This window comes from Homo sapiens, chromosome X (assembly GCF_000001405.40).
Source record: "Homo sapiens chromosome X, GRCh38.p14 Primary Assembly".
Lineage (NCBI taxonomy): Eukaryota > Metazoa > Chordata > Mammalia > Primates > Hominidae > Homo > Homo sapiens.
Genome location: NC_000023.11, coordinates 133,345,016 through 133,363,651, shown reverse-complemented (window position 1 = coordinate 133,363,651; position 18,636 = coordinate 133,345,016). Strand labels below are relative to the sequence as shown.

Below are 18,636 nucleotides of genomic sequence, written 5' to 3'. Positions count from 1 at the left end.
TTTCTGGAGAGGGGAGCAAGCAACATGCCCAGCAGGACATTATTCACTTGAGTTTCAGATTTGTAGTACTCTAATGCTAACAGCATGGTTTGCCTAGCTGATGAGGGTTGGGGAAAAAGAAAATCAAAAGCTGGACCACAGGAGACCAGGGTTCTCGTCCTGATCAAATGCATTTCTACTGTGCAACCTTGTAGATAGATGTTGGGAAGAGAGGAATGAGAAAAACTGTATATCCTTTTCATAATTAAATGATTGAGAGTGTTTGGGGAAGGACAAGAGAAAAAAGAGCTGTATGTTTAAAAACAGAAATAGGCCAGGCAGGTGTGGTGGTTCATGCCCGTAATCCCAGCACTTTAGGGTGACTGAGGCAGGTGGATCACTTGAGCCCAGGAATTCTAGACCAGCCTGGGCAACATAGTGAGACCTCATTCCTGCAAAAAACAAAACAAAACAAAAGAAAACAAAAGCACTAAAAATAACTAAAAAATGATAATAATAAAAGATTTTAAAACACAGAAATAAACATTCCTCAGGGCGAGGATGTGCATGTGTGGTTAATTCCTAATACTGAACAAGGCAGGGTTTTGACTACAGCTTAGCCAGACACTCCTTGGCCTCTCTGCCATGGCATTCCCAGCTCTCTGTCAGAATAGCAAATCGTAGCTGACATTTGCTTTTCCAGAAGGAACACCCTTTTGCCCCATTCTACCGTCAGCCTGGCTTTTTTGTCCGGATTTACCTGTTCTTTGTAGTGGGAGACAGCTGTGCAATGGATGGGAGCTTGAGGGAGCCCAGAAACCTCTTCTAGGACCACAGCAGCACTCATTCATCACTCAGAGAGGAAACAAGTAGTTTACGAGCTTTCACTGAAAAGTCATCATTGTGTAGGTTTTCATGAAATAAAGATTGTGTGAGCCATCACACAGGGCTGTTTTCAGGACAACTCTGACAGAGGATGTTTGTTCCTTCCAGAAATGCTGGCAATATTGTAAGCTTTTCATCCCTTTACCAGGGCATTACTCTGGTGCTGTTAGTGTCTGATTCTGCTAAGAAGTAGGAAATGTTAAGAAGGCATTGTTCTAAAGAAATGATCCCCAAATATCAGTGCTAAGTGCCATCTATGACCACACACATGTCCATTTATAAAATGCCTTATAAACTGGGAGCAGTGCTGGGTTTATATCAAAGTTCAATCTCAAAATCAATGCCATTTAAAATTGTAAAACCATTCTTAACTTGTTCTTTCAAATGTAGAACATTTGTATTATGTTTATGTTACATGTAGGGCACAGATATGGCATGTGACATTTGGTACATTGACATTTTTAGAACAAAAATGAGTGACCCACTGTTTTTCCTTGCCTCTTCTGTTCCCTTCTCTGTCTGTATTTTTCCTTCCTCTCCTCTCCTCCCCTTTCCTTCCTTTCTTTTTTTTTTTGAGACAGAGTCTTACTCTGTCACCCAGGCTGGAGTGCAGTGGCTCAATTACAGCTCACTGAAGCCTCGACCTCCTGGGCTCAAGTGATCCTCCTGCCTCAGTCTCCTATGTAACTGAGACCACAGGCGCACCCCACCATGCCCAGCTAATTTTTAAGTTTTATATAGAGACGAGGTCTCAATCTGTTGCCCAGGCTGGTCTTGAACTCTTGAGCTCAAGCAATCCTCCCGCCTCAGACTCCCCAAAGTGCTGGGATTACAGGTATGAGCCATTGCATTGGGCCTTGTCTATATTTTTCAAGCTCTTTGCTTCTATTATTGTATTTAATTTGTTTTGGAGTTTTTTTCTTACTCAGAATCCTGCCTCCTCATTCTTTCTCTTTTTGAGAGAAGAGCAACTTTTGCTTTCGGGCACTCTAATTTACAGGAAAATGAACGATACAATTTATGCAGTTTTGTGTTCTAGAAAATTTATTATTTCAGCCTTCAGGGTTACCCAGGTTTTGTATCATTTCATTTCCCTGGAGCACTTTACACATTTAATGGCAAAGACCAGCAATGGTGCTTTTCTGGTGTATGCAGCAGCTTGTTCTAAGGCATGTGGTTTGAGAGTTGGCGCTACTTAATCATCTTGTTTTTTTTTTTTTCTTGAGTGTTTTGGATCTATTTCCTCCATTGAGTCCAAGTTGTCTTGAGAGAACTCAAGAATGGTGTGAAGTGTATTTAGCAGAATCTCTCTTCCCAAATGGCAAACTGTGTTTCAAGAAATAAATAAGCCCATTCTAAGATATAAACCCTATTTTCATGTTTACTTAGCTCTTTTCTTCTATATCTTCTGGGATTGATATTTTTAGTAATATGAACCAGCTATTTGATGCCCTTTGAAAGTAACAGCCTTGCTGCATGGGTCAGTTTTCTGGTAGCGTATCACCAGCAAGGACATCACACTCAGGTAGAAGAAAAATGAATGTTCTTTTTTGGAATATTTCAAAGGTTATAAATGTATATCAAACAAACCAGTTTTCCTTAATAAATCACCTCTTAGGTCTGTTTTCTCTAACATCTAGAACTTTTGTGAAGCTGTTAAGTTGCAGCCTATACCAACTGTTGACCTTTTGCTTATAGCTTTAAAATAATGTCTTAGTTATCTTACTTCATATGAAAAGAAAATGTTATGAGTAAGAGATTTTTCCCTTACCTATCAAACTGTCTTTTAAACATGTTTTAAATATTTCAATGAAAATATTTCTAAAGTATTTATTCTCCTAACTTATTAAACAGAAGGATAAAAACCGTAATCAGTTAAAAAACACTCAGGGTCACCATTATGAGAATCATTTAATAAATGATGCTCTAATGCAGCAATGTCCTTAGGGCTCTTTGAAGTATGAGGAACTATTTGCCCCTAAGCTAAATGGCCCCAGACTGTTCTGCTGCAGTTGCTTCTGCCTTCCTTTTCAGCTGTCACTTCTGCTGTCATTGATTTGGGTTCACTCTTTGACCCTTTTTAACCCAGTGCAGAACTGAATGTCTAGAAATCAGACAGTAGAGTTGGTTAAATGTGCAACTGGAGTATTTGTGTACAAAATAAAGGCTATGTTCCAGAGGGTGGCTTCAGTCTCCTACAGTAAATTTCACAGACTTTGAATATTTCTTCTTCTTCTTCTTCTTTTTTTTTTTCGGCAAACCCAAGGCTTCCCTTGCTTAGTGGGTCATCCCACAATTTGAAGTAATGTATAAGCAAGCCATTGCTATACTTCTAGGGTTGTTTATTGAATAAATTTAGTATATCAATAGGTGATAAAAGAGACAACCATTTTAAAGCCTCTCCATATGTTTGATTAAAAGAAATAATATTCCTGTCTTTGCACACTGAACCTTAATCTATTTTCATTTGTCTTCATAACCTCTTATAAAGCAAATAATTGCCCTGACCTTTTTATCTAACATCTGAATTTTCCTTATCTCATTTGTGTGTGTCCTTTAAGATTCAATGACAATGCACAGTAATGTAGATAACGTGATAATACTTTCTGTTGTGTTTTTAGCACGCTTTGTATAAATCATATCCTCAGGGTCCCCTTTATTCATATATTCTACTTGCACCACCCACCCCAAGAGTCCTGGTTTATTAGATTTTTCTCCTTTGCCAAAATATTTGGGTTTTCTCTCCCCCCCCAGCATAGGCCTTATTTTCATAAATGTGTAGTGATTTCACCTTTCCCGTAAAGTTGGCCAGCCTGCTTGATTATGGAAATTAGATTTACTGGTTTCTACTTCCCAGGGTCCCTTCTAGAACCCCGCTTATGAATAGGAATTACATTGACAAGCACCAGTCTCGGGCACAGTGGCTGTTTGTAAAGACAGCCTACACATGTTGGCCAAAACAGTTTCACCCTTGAGTTACTTCAAAACTGGCTGGTGGATACCATCTGGTCCCAGTGATTTATCTACTCCTGGTTTGTTGATTAGATGCAGGGCATCATGTTTACCACTATTTGATCTAGTACCTCTGACCTGCCGAGTTCAGTGTTCTGGTTTGGAAATGCGCATCTCCTTACAAGACAAAGAATTCATTCAGTCTCTCCACCATCTCCATTTTAGCCCTGTGACTGTGATTAAGTGGTTCCTCTAACTGGCTTCCTCCCTTTGATAGAGCAAAAGAGCCTCTTACTATAGCCTTTGCAATCTCTTGCAAGTTGCTCCTGCCTAGATTTTATTTTGTGTTTAACCTGCTGTGCCTTACAGGATTTTCTCTATTCCTTCTCTGGACTATTTTTTTTTCTTTAATCACCACTGCTTTTTCTTCTGCCTTTTAACCACAAGGAAGGTTCTCTTCTCTCTCCAGTCCCCACCACCTCCCCCGCCAATATAAGTAATTATTCTGGGGCGACTATAAGTAAGTTTTTTTCTTTCCCCTTTTTAAACCAGTCTCCAGGCATCTTGAGGGTTGTTTACTTTCCGAACTCCCTCAGTAATGCCCTGCTTTTGTCACAGATTCTTACTCTAATATAGCAAAAACTATGTAATGGGGTTTGTACTTTTCCTCTCCCATCAAGTTGTTAAATTTAATATTGCTGTGTGGTCACCAGTACACATTTGTTTATCCACACTTACTTGGTGTCCTAAGTCCTATGTACTACTCAAGACCAAGGCCAGGTATCTCTTGGGACCTTTCTTCCCTTCCCCCCTCCATCCCTCATACTCCTGTTCTAGAAGCACTTGTTCAGGAAGTAATCATTTTTCGTGTCTCCAGATCTTGGCTGTAGATCTTGGCAGGTAAGTATTATGCTGATGATTTTTTTTTTCATTCATGTCTGTGAATCTTCACACACAAATGTAAGAGGATAATGGAGGGAAATCTATGGTACCAATCTAAAGCTGAGTAGAGGAAGACCTATTTGACAGAAATATTTAAGACATAAAGAGAGTATAAGGGAGGTGATCCGGTGATAAACTGACAGACGCTCTAAGGTCGATATACTGTCATCAGCAACATAAAAAAAATCAGCACTTAAATGCATCACAATGGTACAGAGAGCTGTCATTTCCATCTTTGTTCTCCCTTCCTTTGATGTGATAGGGAGCCAACTCCCTTCATCTCCGGGTGGAATTTTTGTTTGTTTGTTTTTATTTGACATACATTTATCCTTAGACAGTCTAAATTTCCAAAGCATCTGCCTTTATTTCATAGAGCGGAGAGTTCTTTCAACAAAATGATTGGCTATTAGGAAGAAATTGATCATTTGTCAGGATAGTGCAGCAGACACAGTGCATATTCTGGGCACACAATATTTTTGTAAAGTCAGATGCATATCTACTCAAGCAAATAGTGTCTTGTCTTAATCTTTTGAATTTTATTCATGAGTTAGATATTCTAGGATGCAAATGAATCATATTTATCTGTAGAAACCTTTGGATATTGTTGCTAAGTTGATTCCCCAAAATATTCAGTCAGACTATGTGAAATTGCTGATATTTGACCTATTTGGCCTAAAATAATGGCACTCTCATAAGAATCAACCTTTAATATTTTGTTTTTCTTTAATCTCTCAAAGCTCATAACAGAACCATTTCAAAAGCTAAAGAAAAGATTCTGTAGCTCATAATCCTAGAGCAGTATTGCAGGTTGTAGCCTGAATTTTTATCAAGGGACTGTTTTGTCTTTCTGCTAAATAAAGCTAAATTTCCATTTGGTCTGTAATTTTTAGAAATAAATATTTCCAAAGACTAAAAATAATAGTAATGATAACAATAGAAACAACAAGAAAACAAACACTCCCCCATTGGTTAAACATAGCTGAACTCTGAAACATAGAAAGAATCCCCTTTCTGAGAAATATATAGCATCTTCTGATATCAGTGTTCATAATAATAGCTGCTATTGATTGAGGTATACTGTATAATTTTAATGCTTCTAACAACTCTCTGAGGTAGGTTCTGCTCTTGTCCTCCTTTTACAGAAGATGAACTAGTCTCAGAGAAGTTAGGAGGGTGGCTCAAAATTGCACAGTTGGTAAGCAACAGAACTGAGCCTAAGCTGGGCATGGTGACGTGGGCCTATCATCCCAGCCACCATGAGGTGGCTCGTGCTTGAGGTCAGGAGTTTCAGACTAGCCCGAGCAACACAGTGAGACCCTGTCTCTTAAAAAACGAAAAAAATACCAGATGTGATGGTGCATACCTGTAGTCCTAACTGTTCAGGAGGCTGAGGTGGGAGGATCATTTGAACACAGGAGTTTGAGGGTACAGTGAGCTATGATGATGCCACTGCACTCCAGCGTGGGTGACAGAGACGCCATCTCTAAAAAAAAAAATTTTTTTTTTTTTTTTGAGAGAGTCTTCCTCTGTCACCCAGGCTGGAGTGCAGTGGTGCTATCTTGGTTCACTGCACCCTCCACCTCCCAGGCTCAGGCAATTCTTCTGCCTCAGCCTCCCGAGTAGCTGGAACTACAGGCATGCACCACTGTGCCTGGCTAGTTTTTGTACTTTTAGTAGAGACAGGGTTTTGCCATGTTGCCCAGACTGGTCTCGAACTCCTGGCCTCAAGTAATCCACCTGCCTCGGCCTCCCAAAGTGCTGGGATTACAGGCATGACCCACTGCACCTGGCCCTAAAAATTATTTTTTTAATTAAGAAAGAACTTAGCCTGAACTTGGGCTTATTTACCTTTGAAGCTGTTATGCTTTCCATATAACATGATGCCTCCCTACCTCAGAGACTCAGAACAGAGAGTCCAGTCAAAACATTTATAGCTAATTTCCCACACTGTTCTGACATACATACTATACAGTATGTAGTTAGATAGTAAATCATGCTCCAGACAAGCTTTTCTGTTCTCTTGAGTTTCCCACTTGTTGTGATTTATCCATTTGTTTTTTACTGAACTGTTCTGATTGAGGATCCTTGGTGATGTGGAGTGTCTTAGTCCATTTGTGTTGCTATGAAGGAATACCTGAGGCTGGGTAATTTATAAAGAAAAGAGATTTATTTGGCTCATGGTTCTGCAGGCTGTACAAGAAGCATATTGTCAGTATCTGCTTCTGGTGAGGGCCTCAGGAAGCGTTCACTCATGGTGGAAGGGGAAGGGGAGCAGGCATCACATGGTGAGAGAGGAGGTGCCAAGCTCTTTGCCAACAGTTCTCTCTTAGGAACTAAGTAAGAATTCACTGCCAGGTGTGGTGGCTCACACCTGTAATTCCAGCACTTTGGGAGGCTGAGGTGAGTAGATCACCTGAGGTCAGGAGTTTGAAACCAGCCTGGCCAACATGGTGAAACCCTGTCTCTACTAAAAATACAAAAATTAGTCGGGTGTAGTGGCAGGTGTCTGTAATCCCAGCTACTTGGGAGGCTGGGGCAGGAGAATCACTTGAACCCAGGAGGTGGAGGTTGCAGTGAGCTGAGATTGCGCCACTGCACTCCAGTCTGGGCGACAGAGCAAGACTTCATCTCTAATAAAAAAAGAATTCGCTGCTGCGAGATCCAGGCCATTCACTAAGTATCTGCCCTCCACAATCCAAACATCTCCTGCCAGGCCCCACCTCCAACACTGGGGATTAGATTTCAACATGAAACTTGAAGGGGCCATACAAACCATATCTATGCCATCGCACAGAATAACCTAAAATTCTTGGTTCTTGAAGTGCCTGACTGTTACGCCATTTTTGCATCACTATAAAGACATACTGGAGGCTGGGTAAGTTATAAAGAAAAGAGGTTTAATTGGCTCATGGTTCTGCAGTTTGTACAAGCATGGCTCCAGCATCTGCTTCTGATGAGGCCTCAGGGAGCTTTCAATCATGGTGGAAGGGAAAGTAGGAGACAGCATGTCACATGGTGATAGCGGGATTAAGAGAGAAAGAGTGGGGAGGTGCCATACTCTCTTAACCAACCAGGTCTCATGGGAACTCAGAGCAAGAACTCACTTTTCTCCCGGGGGATGGTGCTAAGCCATTCATGAGGGATCCACCCACACAACCCAGTCACCTCCCACTAGGACCCATCTCCAACACTGGGAGTCACTTTTCAACATGCAATTTGGATGGTGCACACATCCAAAACATTTTCATTGACCCTTCTTGTTCTAAGTTGCTGCTTACTGCTACTTACTGGTGGAATAAAAAGAAGTTTGGGTTCTGTATGCGGTCCCAAGGCTACCAAGTGTGTCAGTGCTGTTAGAAGAGTTTTAAACCAATAAGCAAAATGCATCATGACTATTTCTTAATATAGGCTCATTTTGTAATAGTGTGTTATGTTTGTAGCCACAAATCATGGAGCTATGAAGGTTCATCTCATAATAACGAAACAATGCTTTTTTATAAGAGTATATTTTCTACTTGCCCATACCACCAAGTCATTCGGCCAAATGGAAGCTCAGACTTGGTGCTACTGAGCACCTTTTCCTATGTATATTTATGAAACTCGAGATTGAACTATTGTTCTTTTTCAAGCTCATGCAGTTCTAGTATAGTCATTCTGCATGACTGAACTTAACTCTAGTCAAGTAAATTTGGGTTAGGTTAGTTGGTCTTTGTACTGGCCTATGTTAATTGTCATATATAAAAAATATTAATAGAAACACTCATGGGCAAAAACATAAGCATGCTTTCTGGATAGCCTGGTAGAACTCATTCTTATTTAGGCAGTTCATTTGGAAAAATCAGGTCTTATAATGCTGGACATTTAATTTGGCTTCAGCCTTTGAAAGGCCGTTCTTCCCCACATTGAAACTGATTTCAGAATATGATTTAATGTATGTGCTGCTGTAGCATTGCATACAATTTAGGATTATGCTGTCTTGACTCAGAGTTAAAACATAAGAGTAGCTAGATTAAAAAAATAAAACATGGCCGGGCGCGGTGGCTCACGCCTGTAATCCCAGCACTTTGGGAGGCTGAGGCGGGTGGATCATGAGGTCAGGAGATCGAGACCATCCTGGCTAACAAGGTGAAACCCCGTCTCTACTAAAAATACAAAAAATTAGCCGGGCGCGGTGGCGGGCGCCTGTAGTCCCAGCTACTCGGGAGGCTGAGGCAGGAGAATGGCGTGAACCCGGGAAGCGGAGCTTGCAGTGAGCCGAGATTGCGCCACTGCAGTCCGCAGTCTGGCCTGGGCGACAGAGCGAGACTCCGTCTCAAAAAAAAAAATAAATAAATAAATAAATAAATAAATAAAACATGACCTTGCATGGTTTATGATCCAGTGAAAGATAAAGAGAACAAAGTGGGCTGTTCTCTGTTCTTTCATACTTCTGGTACTGATACTTTTTAAAGTACACTACAGTGTTTACTATTTCAAACCGATAAGCACAGCACTGCTGCCAAGTATTATCTTTAAAACAAGACCGACATTTAATTCAGTTGTCATATTTGTTCTCATCCTTGAAGGCAGTTTAAAAAACAGTTGCCTCTCATTGGTTACTGTGGGATCAGGAAAAACTAGGAGCTTATGTAAATATGCGTGTATCTGAAAGGAGAAGGTTTATTTTTTTATTTTCCTTTGAAGTACCTTTAAGTGTACTCTTAAAGTATATCCCGAACTGCATACCATTATGTGTTTTCCACATAGGATGAAACATCCTCAAGGAGAGGGGCTAAAAATAAGTATATTAAAGTAACTTACTCTTTGCTGGCAGAAGGTCCTGGTACAAAATTAGGTCCTTGAATTTTCCAAATGAGGTTGTATTTATTGCCCTTCTTTTCTAAGAAAGGCTATTTTAATAATTTTTGCTATCACATCAAAGACTTTTCATGATAATTATAGTCAATAATTGCAGTAGTAATGCTGCGTGCCATCTGCAGGCTCTGTGTAATGGAAACTAGGGAGAAAAACGTGTCCCTGTGCTTGATGGGAGTTACCACAGAACGAAAGACCCTGGTGCCTGATCACCACTTGCATCAGTTGTAGGTGACTCTCCCACTCCTGGGCCCTTGGTCATATATACTGTCTTTTTTTTCTCCCTTTCTCCTTTGACCCATTTCCTTCCATTTCTTTTTCTCTCACTCCTTCAGGCCTCTAATGTGCAGGAGTAAGAGAGAAAGAACTTCCCCATCCCCCATGTTTGTTGCTCATCCTAAAGTAGCTGACAGGCCACATTCTAGGAGTAGAGGAGTAATTGGAACTTCTTTGGGATCAAGTGTTTGACCAAATCAATTGGTTTATGAGTGAGCAGTTGGCCCATTACCAAAAAGAGTTAGAGAGGGCAAGCTAGACATTGAAGTAACGGAATGAGCACCCACTCACCCAGTTGCACCAGGTCAGAGAAAGCTGTCTGATACTTTCAATTTGTGAGCATCCGGTCTCAAGCTTGTCTGTGGGCCAGATTTCTGAAGTGCTGATGTTTCTCTTAGGTCCTGTGACAGGCATTACATTGTATAGTAACTCCAATATCAGCCCCATGGAAGCAACCCTAAGTTCTTACAGGCTCAAATTAGAGTGGCTCCTATCCTTTCATTCATACCCAAAGCAAAAATGGTAAGATGCAGCCGTTTCATTCTTGGTTAGTTCTGCAGTAAAGAAGTCCAGGACACTTGCAGCGCACTTTCTGGAGCATTTGTATCTATCTCTTTGGCCCAGTGGTGCCTAAGAGGGCCCTGGTATGGTTAGGGTTATCTGAAGATGACTAGGAATTGAACAGGCCTTACTTGAATGTGTAGTAAATGACTGGTTTCTCTCTTTTCTGTGTCACTTGCTGACAAAGAGGCAATAACTTTTCCATCTTCTTCTCTAAGGAAGTAAATTTTTTTATGTCATAAGTAGACACATTAATACTTTAATATAGCACCTAAGATCTGGCTTTATTTTTCCTTCCCTGTGGTACTTAAGAAACCAGAGGAAAATGGCGGGTGGCTGGATGGCAGCCCAGTTGAAGAATTGGCTAATCAATACCTTGCCTTTGAGTTCAGGCACCTTTTTATCAGGGTTTTTTAGAGCCTAGAAAAAAACAGGGATTATTCCTAGTGTGTGGAGAGGCACTGGGTGGTATCTCAAATTGTTCGTTGTTGAGTATATATCAGTCACTTGAGGGCATAGAAGCTCTCCTCTGGTGAGACCTCTACTACAAAAATTGAACGGAGCTATGCCAATAATTTATTGACTATCCAAATATAAGTTTAGGGAAGCTTGTTATCAAGTGACCAGGTTAGGGCCTTTAAAAATCAAAGCACTAACATTGTCTGAGTTTTTTTTTTTTTTCTTAAAAGGAGATTTGAATGTTTAGTGACTTCTGATTTGTCAAACCAAGGAAATGAAACAGCATGTGTGTGGGAAGTCTTTGTTCTGCCGATTTTGCTTTGTTGACCAAGAAAGGCAGCAGAACTAGGTCCCCAAGGAGTTTTATTCACCCTTGCCTTGTCAGATTTTGCTCTGAGTCCGAGATAATGCCTTCAGTAGTTTTGGTTGTCTCAAAAATGGACATAGTATATATGGCAATGTATAGGTTATATCTGAGTGTGTGACTCTCTCCTACTTTGTCCAAAGGCACCTCCTATGGCACATCTGTTGAAGTTCCAAAGTGAGAAGAAACATGGGTTGAGTTGATTTGCCTGATTTAGCATCATCTCTCCTGTCTTTTGGACTTGAGTTGTTCCAAGATAAGATTAGAGGACCTCAGAGATCTTGTGGTGGGGAGGGGGTTGGAGGAATTCACATTATAGAGTAAGAAGGAGAGAGAAAAAGCCTAGAGAACAACAATAAAATCCATGTCTGTTCATCTTGTAATTTTCAAGAGGGCGGAGACCAAGCCATTTGTATTTTCTGCACTGATGGATGGCATCTGGCACATAAGAGTCACTTGATAAATACTGCATTAAGCACCAACAATGTTTTTGTGTTGCCAAATCGGGTCAAAGGTTAGTTTGGGAGAAGTGAATCAAATCTTTGACTTAGACTTGGGGAAAATGTTAGGGCAGAGTTCCATTCCCAGATAATCTCTTGCAGTGGTCTAGTTGAAGTAACTAGTTCACGAAGTGGTAAATATAGTGGATTTTCTAATCATAATGAATAAATCAAATGTAGTTAATTAACAGGTCTGATTCTAAAGGAAAGGTTCTGAAAGGTGAGATTGGAGAATCAAATGGTGTTAAGAAGCCACTAGGATAAGTCCCAGTCAGACCTGGGGTGCCTCACTAATAAAGGCAAGCTGGTAGAGTCTATAATAAAGGCTGAGGACATTGAAAACTTAAGCAAACTCAGTCTTCCAGGAAAGGCAACTTCGTTAAATAAGGGGAATCTGTGCTTTGCTAGTGACCTTGTGTTTCTCAGGTGGCTAATGCATATGTAGAGAATGGAAAACCATTGCACGTGATCTATTTAGGTTTTCAAAAAGCTTTCTTGGTGGCGGGGGGCAGTTGATGGGGGGGTTCACACCAAGCCAAGGAAACTCAAAGTAACTGGCACACCATGGAATTGTGGGACTGTTTCGTCAAATATTATGATTGACTTTGAGGCAGGAAACAAAGGGTAAGGGATAAACACAGGTAATTCTCTGAATAGCAACATAGTGGCTTTCACTCCAAAATTAGGACTGAGACAAGTTTTACTTAAAGCTCCAGGAACTGACCTGGAAGAGGAAGTACACATTGAAATCTTTACATTTGTCAACAAAACTTTTCTAAATAACAAAGAGCCTATTAAATGGTAATAAATTGTAGGGCATGTGGCCCAGGTGCTAGGGCTTTAGATAATGGGTGAGGAGGAGTTTTTGTTTTTGTTTTGCTTTTACTGAAAATGGCATGCTTCATATTGCATAACATGCTGCTTGAAGACTTCATGGCCAGTTGCCAGGGTTGGGGAAACTCAGCCTTGCAAAACGATGGGGAGTATGAGGAGGGCTCTGCCTCTCCCTCATCTGCCCATTCCAAGGTTCAGAAGAATTTTTCTCTCATGTTATAAAATTAACCCCTGGTCAACTGTGGCTCATGTCCATATCCATAGGAACTGGGACTTATTAACAGTCCTTCAGTGCAGATCTGTATCAGAGTAAGCCGTAACTTAACTATGACTTTTAGCAAGAATTTTGTGAAGTGGGTTTTAAAGGATGTAATTAAGCACAGACATTAAAAATGTAAATCTTACTTTCCTCTGCACCATTTTATTGATGCCTAGCTAGAATTTTGAGGAATGGTTTGCATGGATCACTGTTTTTTGTTTTTTGTTGTTGTTGTTTGTTTGTTTTGTTTTGTTTGCAGAATGAAACATTCCCCCCCACCCCACTCCAAGGCTTGAGTGCAGTGGCATGATCATGGCTCACTACAGCCTCAGCCTCCTGGGCTCAGGCGATTCTCCCACCTCAGCCTGCCTGACTAGCTGGGACTACAGGTGTGCGCCACCATGCCTGGCTAATTTTTAAATTTTTTGTAGAGACACGGTCTCACTATGTTGCCCACGCTGATCTTGAATTCATGGGCTGAAGCGATCCTCCCACTTTGACCTCCCAAAGTGCTAGGATTACAGGCATGAGCCACTGTGCCCATCCCAGAATCATTTTTCTTTATGTGAGGAAGTGGACTTTGCCATTGGTGGGTTTACATAAAGGCTTTCTAGATAGCCATTTGGAGAAATATCTTTTGGAGAATTAATGATGAATGAATATGTTATTCTTCTGGTATATTTTTTCTAGACAGTAAATTTACTGAAAACCTCTTACCACGCTGTATTTTGAGGGGAGAAATTTTGGGTATATTGTGAAAAGGAGGGTTAAGAGAAGCTAAAGACAGCTTTTACCTTCCCTTTTGTTTAAGCTGAAAGCAATTACTAAAAAAGAGAAAATAATTTGATGTTAAAAATTGTCATGACTCAGCCGAGTGCAGTGGCTCATGCCTGTAATCTCAGCACTTTGGGAGGCTGAGGGGGAGGATTGCATGAGCCAGGAGTTCGAGACCAGCCTGGGCAATGTAGTGAAACCCCATCTCTACAAAAAATACAAAAATTAACCGGGTGTGGTATCACATCCCTGTAGTCCCAGCTACTCGAGAGGCTGAGGTGGGAAGATCACTTGAGCCCAGGAGGTCGAGACTGCAGTGAGCTATGTTCACGCCACTGCGCTCCATCCTGGGTGACAAAGCGAGACCCTGTGTCTCAACAACAACAACAAATTGTTATGACTCACACAATCCATGAAATGTACGTAAGAAGGCAGACTTTAATCATTCAATTAGAGCAGGTGTCTGAAATGTCTGATATCTGTGAGCCTCCCCACTCACCAACTGTATTTTCTTCTACACTTGCAGCAAATTCAGCTGTTAACCATTTCGGATATTCCTGTGAATTCTAAATGGCTGTGGCAGGCTATCTGAGAATGAGATTCCCAGGATCTTCTTTAGAGATTATTTGGAAATAATATGGAAAATCATCTGCTGTTGGAAGTCAGTGTTGATTCAGCCCCTAGGGGAGGAGGAAAGGGGTGTGTCTGATGTCTTCCTGAGGATACCTTCTTCCTTTTGCTTTCTCCGAGGTCTTCTGTGATGGTGTGCAGGAGACTGCCCACTGGGGCAGTCACTGGAGATGCAAAGAAAGGGCAAAGTGCTGGCGGCTAGCCCTCCCCTACTCTGAGAATCACCATGACCTTCCAAGCCAGGTCTGATCAGCTGTCTCAGAGATGGCCCTGCTAAGGCCTTGGTCTACCAGCTATTATGATGTGTGGCTTGGGGATACAGGTTCCAGAGGGAAAAAAAGTCCTCACCAATGGCGTTTTCTGTCTAGGCTGCTTTTTATTCATAGCTGAATGTATCACTGGGGCTCTAACAGACGTGATCAACCCTGGGAATCTCAGTCTCCATACAGTCTCTCATCTCACTCTCTGTAAAAAGAAAACCTCAGAGTTAGGGGAGTGGGAGTATGAGAAAAATTCACCAATAAAACAAGAAGGACTTTGAGGAGAGTTGTGGAAATCTTAATTTCATAGGCACTATGTAACAAACACCTTCAAAGTCTGTGTATTTGTTTTTCTCTTAAAGAGCTTGAAACTCACATGTGACTCCTTCATATCACTTGAATGAGTATGAAATCCGTAGAGGCATTTGGAATCATTTATTTATCCCTAGGCCTTCTGTTAAATTATGAGCCTAGTGAAAATCATAATTGCTACTTAAGAGAAATTCTCAAACGATGCTACCAAGATATGTGCACCTGAATTATTGACAGAAAAGATCTCCTTTGTTAGTTGCAAAACAAGTAAGAGAGCTCCATCTTTTCCTGTCTGCTCCTTGCTATCCCGCAAGGTCCCCCAGCACACTTCTGTGAGCCTTTTATTAGCACTGCTTAGAAAGTATTTACAGGAGCCTCAGAATTTTTGGAGAGTTTTGGGTTAATCACTAGTAGTATTACTATTCCTTTTGAGTCCTGGAGGTAGTGGTTGTAAATGTGCAAAATAGATGCAGTTGCTTCAGCTGCTCAGAAGTGATGGCAACACAAGGTCAAAGTGTGCATTTCAGGCCATTCACTCAGTTTGGTTTGGTGTGCCTTAATAAACCTTTGGTATAGTTAAAATGGGGATCTAAGATTGTCAGATATTAACCTTGGTTGACAATTTGCTTATCATTTGAAAAGCAGTAAGAAGCCTTGGTTGATTTCTGTCTGGAGTGCAGTTTAAAGCTATTATAAGCTCATTGAAATGAAGTGTAGAGTTTTAAAGTAGCAACCCTAACTCTTCCAACTACACTTACATAAAGTTATTCTTAGAAAAATATAATAAAACTGATTATTGAATGTATGTGTTTCTGACTGGCCTTCTCTATACTACCTTGCAGGATTAGTGGACCTAGAAATAATTGGCAGTCTTAAGCCCTCCAGAGCTATATTTTGGCAAGGTTTTGCAAAATGCTAACTGGCTGCATTTCTCCTACTGATTAGTAGGTGATCTCAAATCATACATCTGCATAATGACTGTAATTTACGTGCTTTGTTATTAAGGTCAGATGACTCCAGGCTTTGGATGCACATAGCACATTTTATGCAGTAATTTCACTCCTTTTTGGAAGGAGGGAGGATGGATTAATGTACACGTCCCCCCACCTCCCTGGAGTTATTAAAAACCTTTAGAGATTTTCTTTCTTTGTTCCCATGAAGCAGAGCATTGTATGTTCCTCATGGGGTCTTAGGTAGCTTAGAGGGGCTGGAGTTATATAGCAACCTGCATTTTAGTTCACTTTGTGGCTACATGAATTTAGATCTAAGAAATGAACAGAAACTATTTTGGTAATGCTTTAGACCAACAGCAAGGAATTATTTTACGTTTAGAACAATAAAAATTAGAAAAAGAGTAAAGTAGCAATTGAGGGATTAGGAAAATTGCTCCAGCAAATAATAGCTTAATACAGCTCCCCAATATTAGAATTACATCAAGTATTTATATTTTTGAAAGCATGATGAAAGTTTTTCCCCGCTGGCCACATGTATTTATGCTTTTTAATTTGAAAGCCAAGACTTGCTTTTCTTAAAAAAAAAAAAAAAAAAAAAAAAAAAAAAAACTTCTAATAGAAGAGTTTTAGATTTACAGAAGTTGGGAAGATAGCACATAGACTTTCCTATATCTCACCCCCAGTATCCCGTTATTAACATCTTACATTAGGGTGGGTATATTTCTCATGATTGATGAACCAATATTGATGCATAATTACGAACTAAAGCCTACACTTAATTCTGATTTCCTGAGTTTTTTGGTAACTGTCTTATTGGGATATAGTTAATATAACAAATAATTCACCTATTTGAAGTGTACAGTGACTTTTAGTATATCTACAAGGTTGTACCTCCATCACCAAAATCAATTTTTCATCACCCCCGAAAGAAACCCCGTACCTTTTAGCTGGCATCCTCACTTTCATTCTTTCCCCTCTCCCCCAGCCCTGGGCAACCAAGAATCTACATTCTATCTCTAGATTTGCTTATGCTGGACATTTTATATAAATGTGGATTTTTTTCACTTAGCAGTGTTTTTGAGATTCATCCATGTTGTAACATGTATCCGAATTTCCTTCCTTCCAATGGCTGAGTAATATTCTATTTACAGATACAGTAGACCACATTTTGTTTATCCATTCATTTGCTGATGGAAATTTGGCTATTATGAATAATGCTGCTATGAACATTTGCATACACCTTTTTGTTTGATTTCCTTAGTTTTTTTCCCCACAATGTACTTATTCTGTTCCAGGATCCCATCCAGGATATCACATTATATTTCCTCATCATGTCTCCTTAAGCTCCTGTGGCTTCGCTTTTGATGGCCCTTTGAATCCCTTGGTTGATGGCTTGGTCACCATCAGTTCACCATCACATATGCATGCCGTTCAGCTCCTTGATGTGCCCTATTTCCACATCTTTCTGAACTAGCTAGAAAAGAAAAGTTTGTTAAAAGAAAAACTTTGGACATGAGGCAGGAGAATAGGGTCTGGAGGCAGGGAACCTGAGGCTGATTCATGCTGACTTCCTATAACTAAATTGAAAGGAAAACCCCAACTTTCCACGCTTAAGTGACAAAAGGACCAGAGGCTACTTCCTTTGCAACACCATGCCCCGCCCCGCCTTCCCCCTTTTTCTGCATGGCAGGAGGAAAATTGAAAGTACCTCTGATTGGTTGCTTTCCCAATCAGACATTTGCATAGGAGTGTAACTTTGTAACTTCATTTTAGCCTCTGATTGCAGGCCACTACTTCATTTGCATGGGGTAAACACCAAGTGGCCAATAGAAACCTCTAGGGGGTATTTGGACCCCAGAAGATTCTGTAACTGGGGCCCATGAGCCACTGCTTGGTTGGCTCCCACCCTGTGGAGTGTACTTTAATTTTCTGTAAATCTCTGCTTTTGTTGTTTCATTCTTTCCTTGCTTTGCTGTGCATTTTGTCCAATTATTTGTTCAAAACACCAAGAACCTGGACAACTTGCAGTCAAGACCCTCTACTGGTAACAGACAAATTAATTTTAACAGAATTTAACTGAGCAAAGAATGATTTGCAAATTGATCACCCCTCCCCACAACCAGAATATGTTCAGAGGGATTCCAGTACTGCCATGTAGTTGGAGAGGATTTATGGACAGAAAAGGAAAAGTGATGTACAGGAAACGGAAGTGAGGTACAGAAACAGCTGAGTTGGTTACAGCTCAGTGATTTCCTTATTTGAACATGGTTTGAACCGTTGGCCACCTGTGATTGGTGCAAGAGCAAGTTACAGTCTGTTTACACACCCAGTTTAGGTTACAGTTCACTGTGTACGGGGAAACCTTTAAACCAAACTTTAAATGTGTAAGGAGGCAGCTTTAGGCTGAACTTAACAAGGTGCTGCTTTTCTGGCGCCCCTCCCTCACCTAGTACAAGTTGTCAGAAATGGTTCTTAACACGAAACTTCAGTAGCTTATCAGAGCATAAGAGATGTTCATTTCTTTCTTTGTTTTGCAATTGTACTGTCTTACATTTACATAATGCCTCCTTGTTTTCAAAGGGCTTTTTTCGTTTTAAGGTTCCAGTGGATAACTGACTTTCCCAAGAGTCTTTACCAAAAGCTTCCCAATCATGTAGAGCTGGGCTTCAAACCCATATTCCTGACTTCTAGATAAAACTTAATTATCCCTAGACTGCTGCTGTTATCTCTGCAGAATAAAAGAACCAAGTAGTTTTAAATATTTGGAACCTTTTAAATTCACTCCTTAAAAAAACCCCTTGTAAAGAGCTAAGTTTTCTTCATAACTCAAGTGAGGCACTCT

General features: G+C 40.5%; 1 protein-coding gene across 1 annotated transcript in view, besides 1 other annotated feature; it reads left to right on the top strand.

The window, feature by feature from the left end:
* The window catches only part of GPC4 (glypican 4), a 115,387-nt gene that overhangs the window by 51,838 nt on the left and 44,913 nt on the right, over nucleotides 1-18,636 (top strand). The window lies entirely within an intron of this gene.
* Nucleotides 12,341-12,842: an enhancer, noted in NCBI's record as "NANOG hESC enhancer chrX:132484838-132485339 (GRCh37/hg19 assembly coordinates)". NCBI's record gives its function as "activates a minimal SCP1, AML or CMV promoter by ChIP-STARR-seq in primed H9 embryonic stem cells {active_cell/tissue: H9 hESC(primed)}" and the evidence as "EXISTENCE:reporter gene assay evidence [ECO:0000049][PMID:30033119]".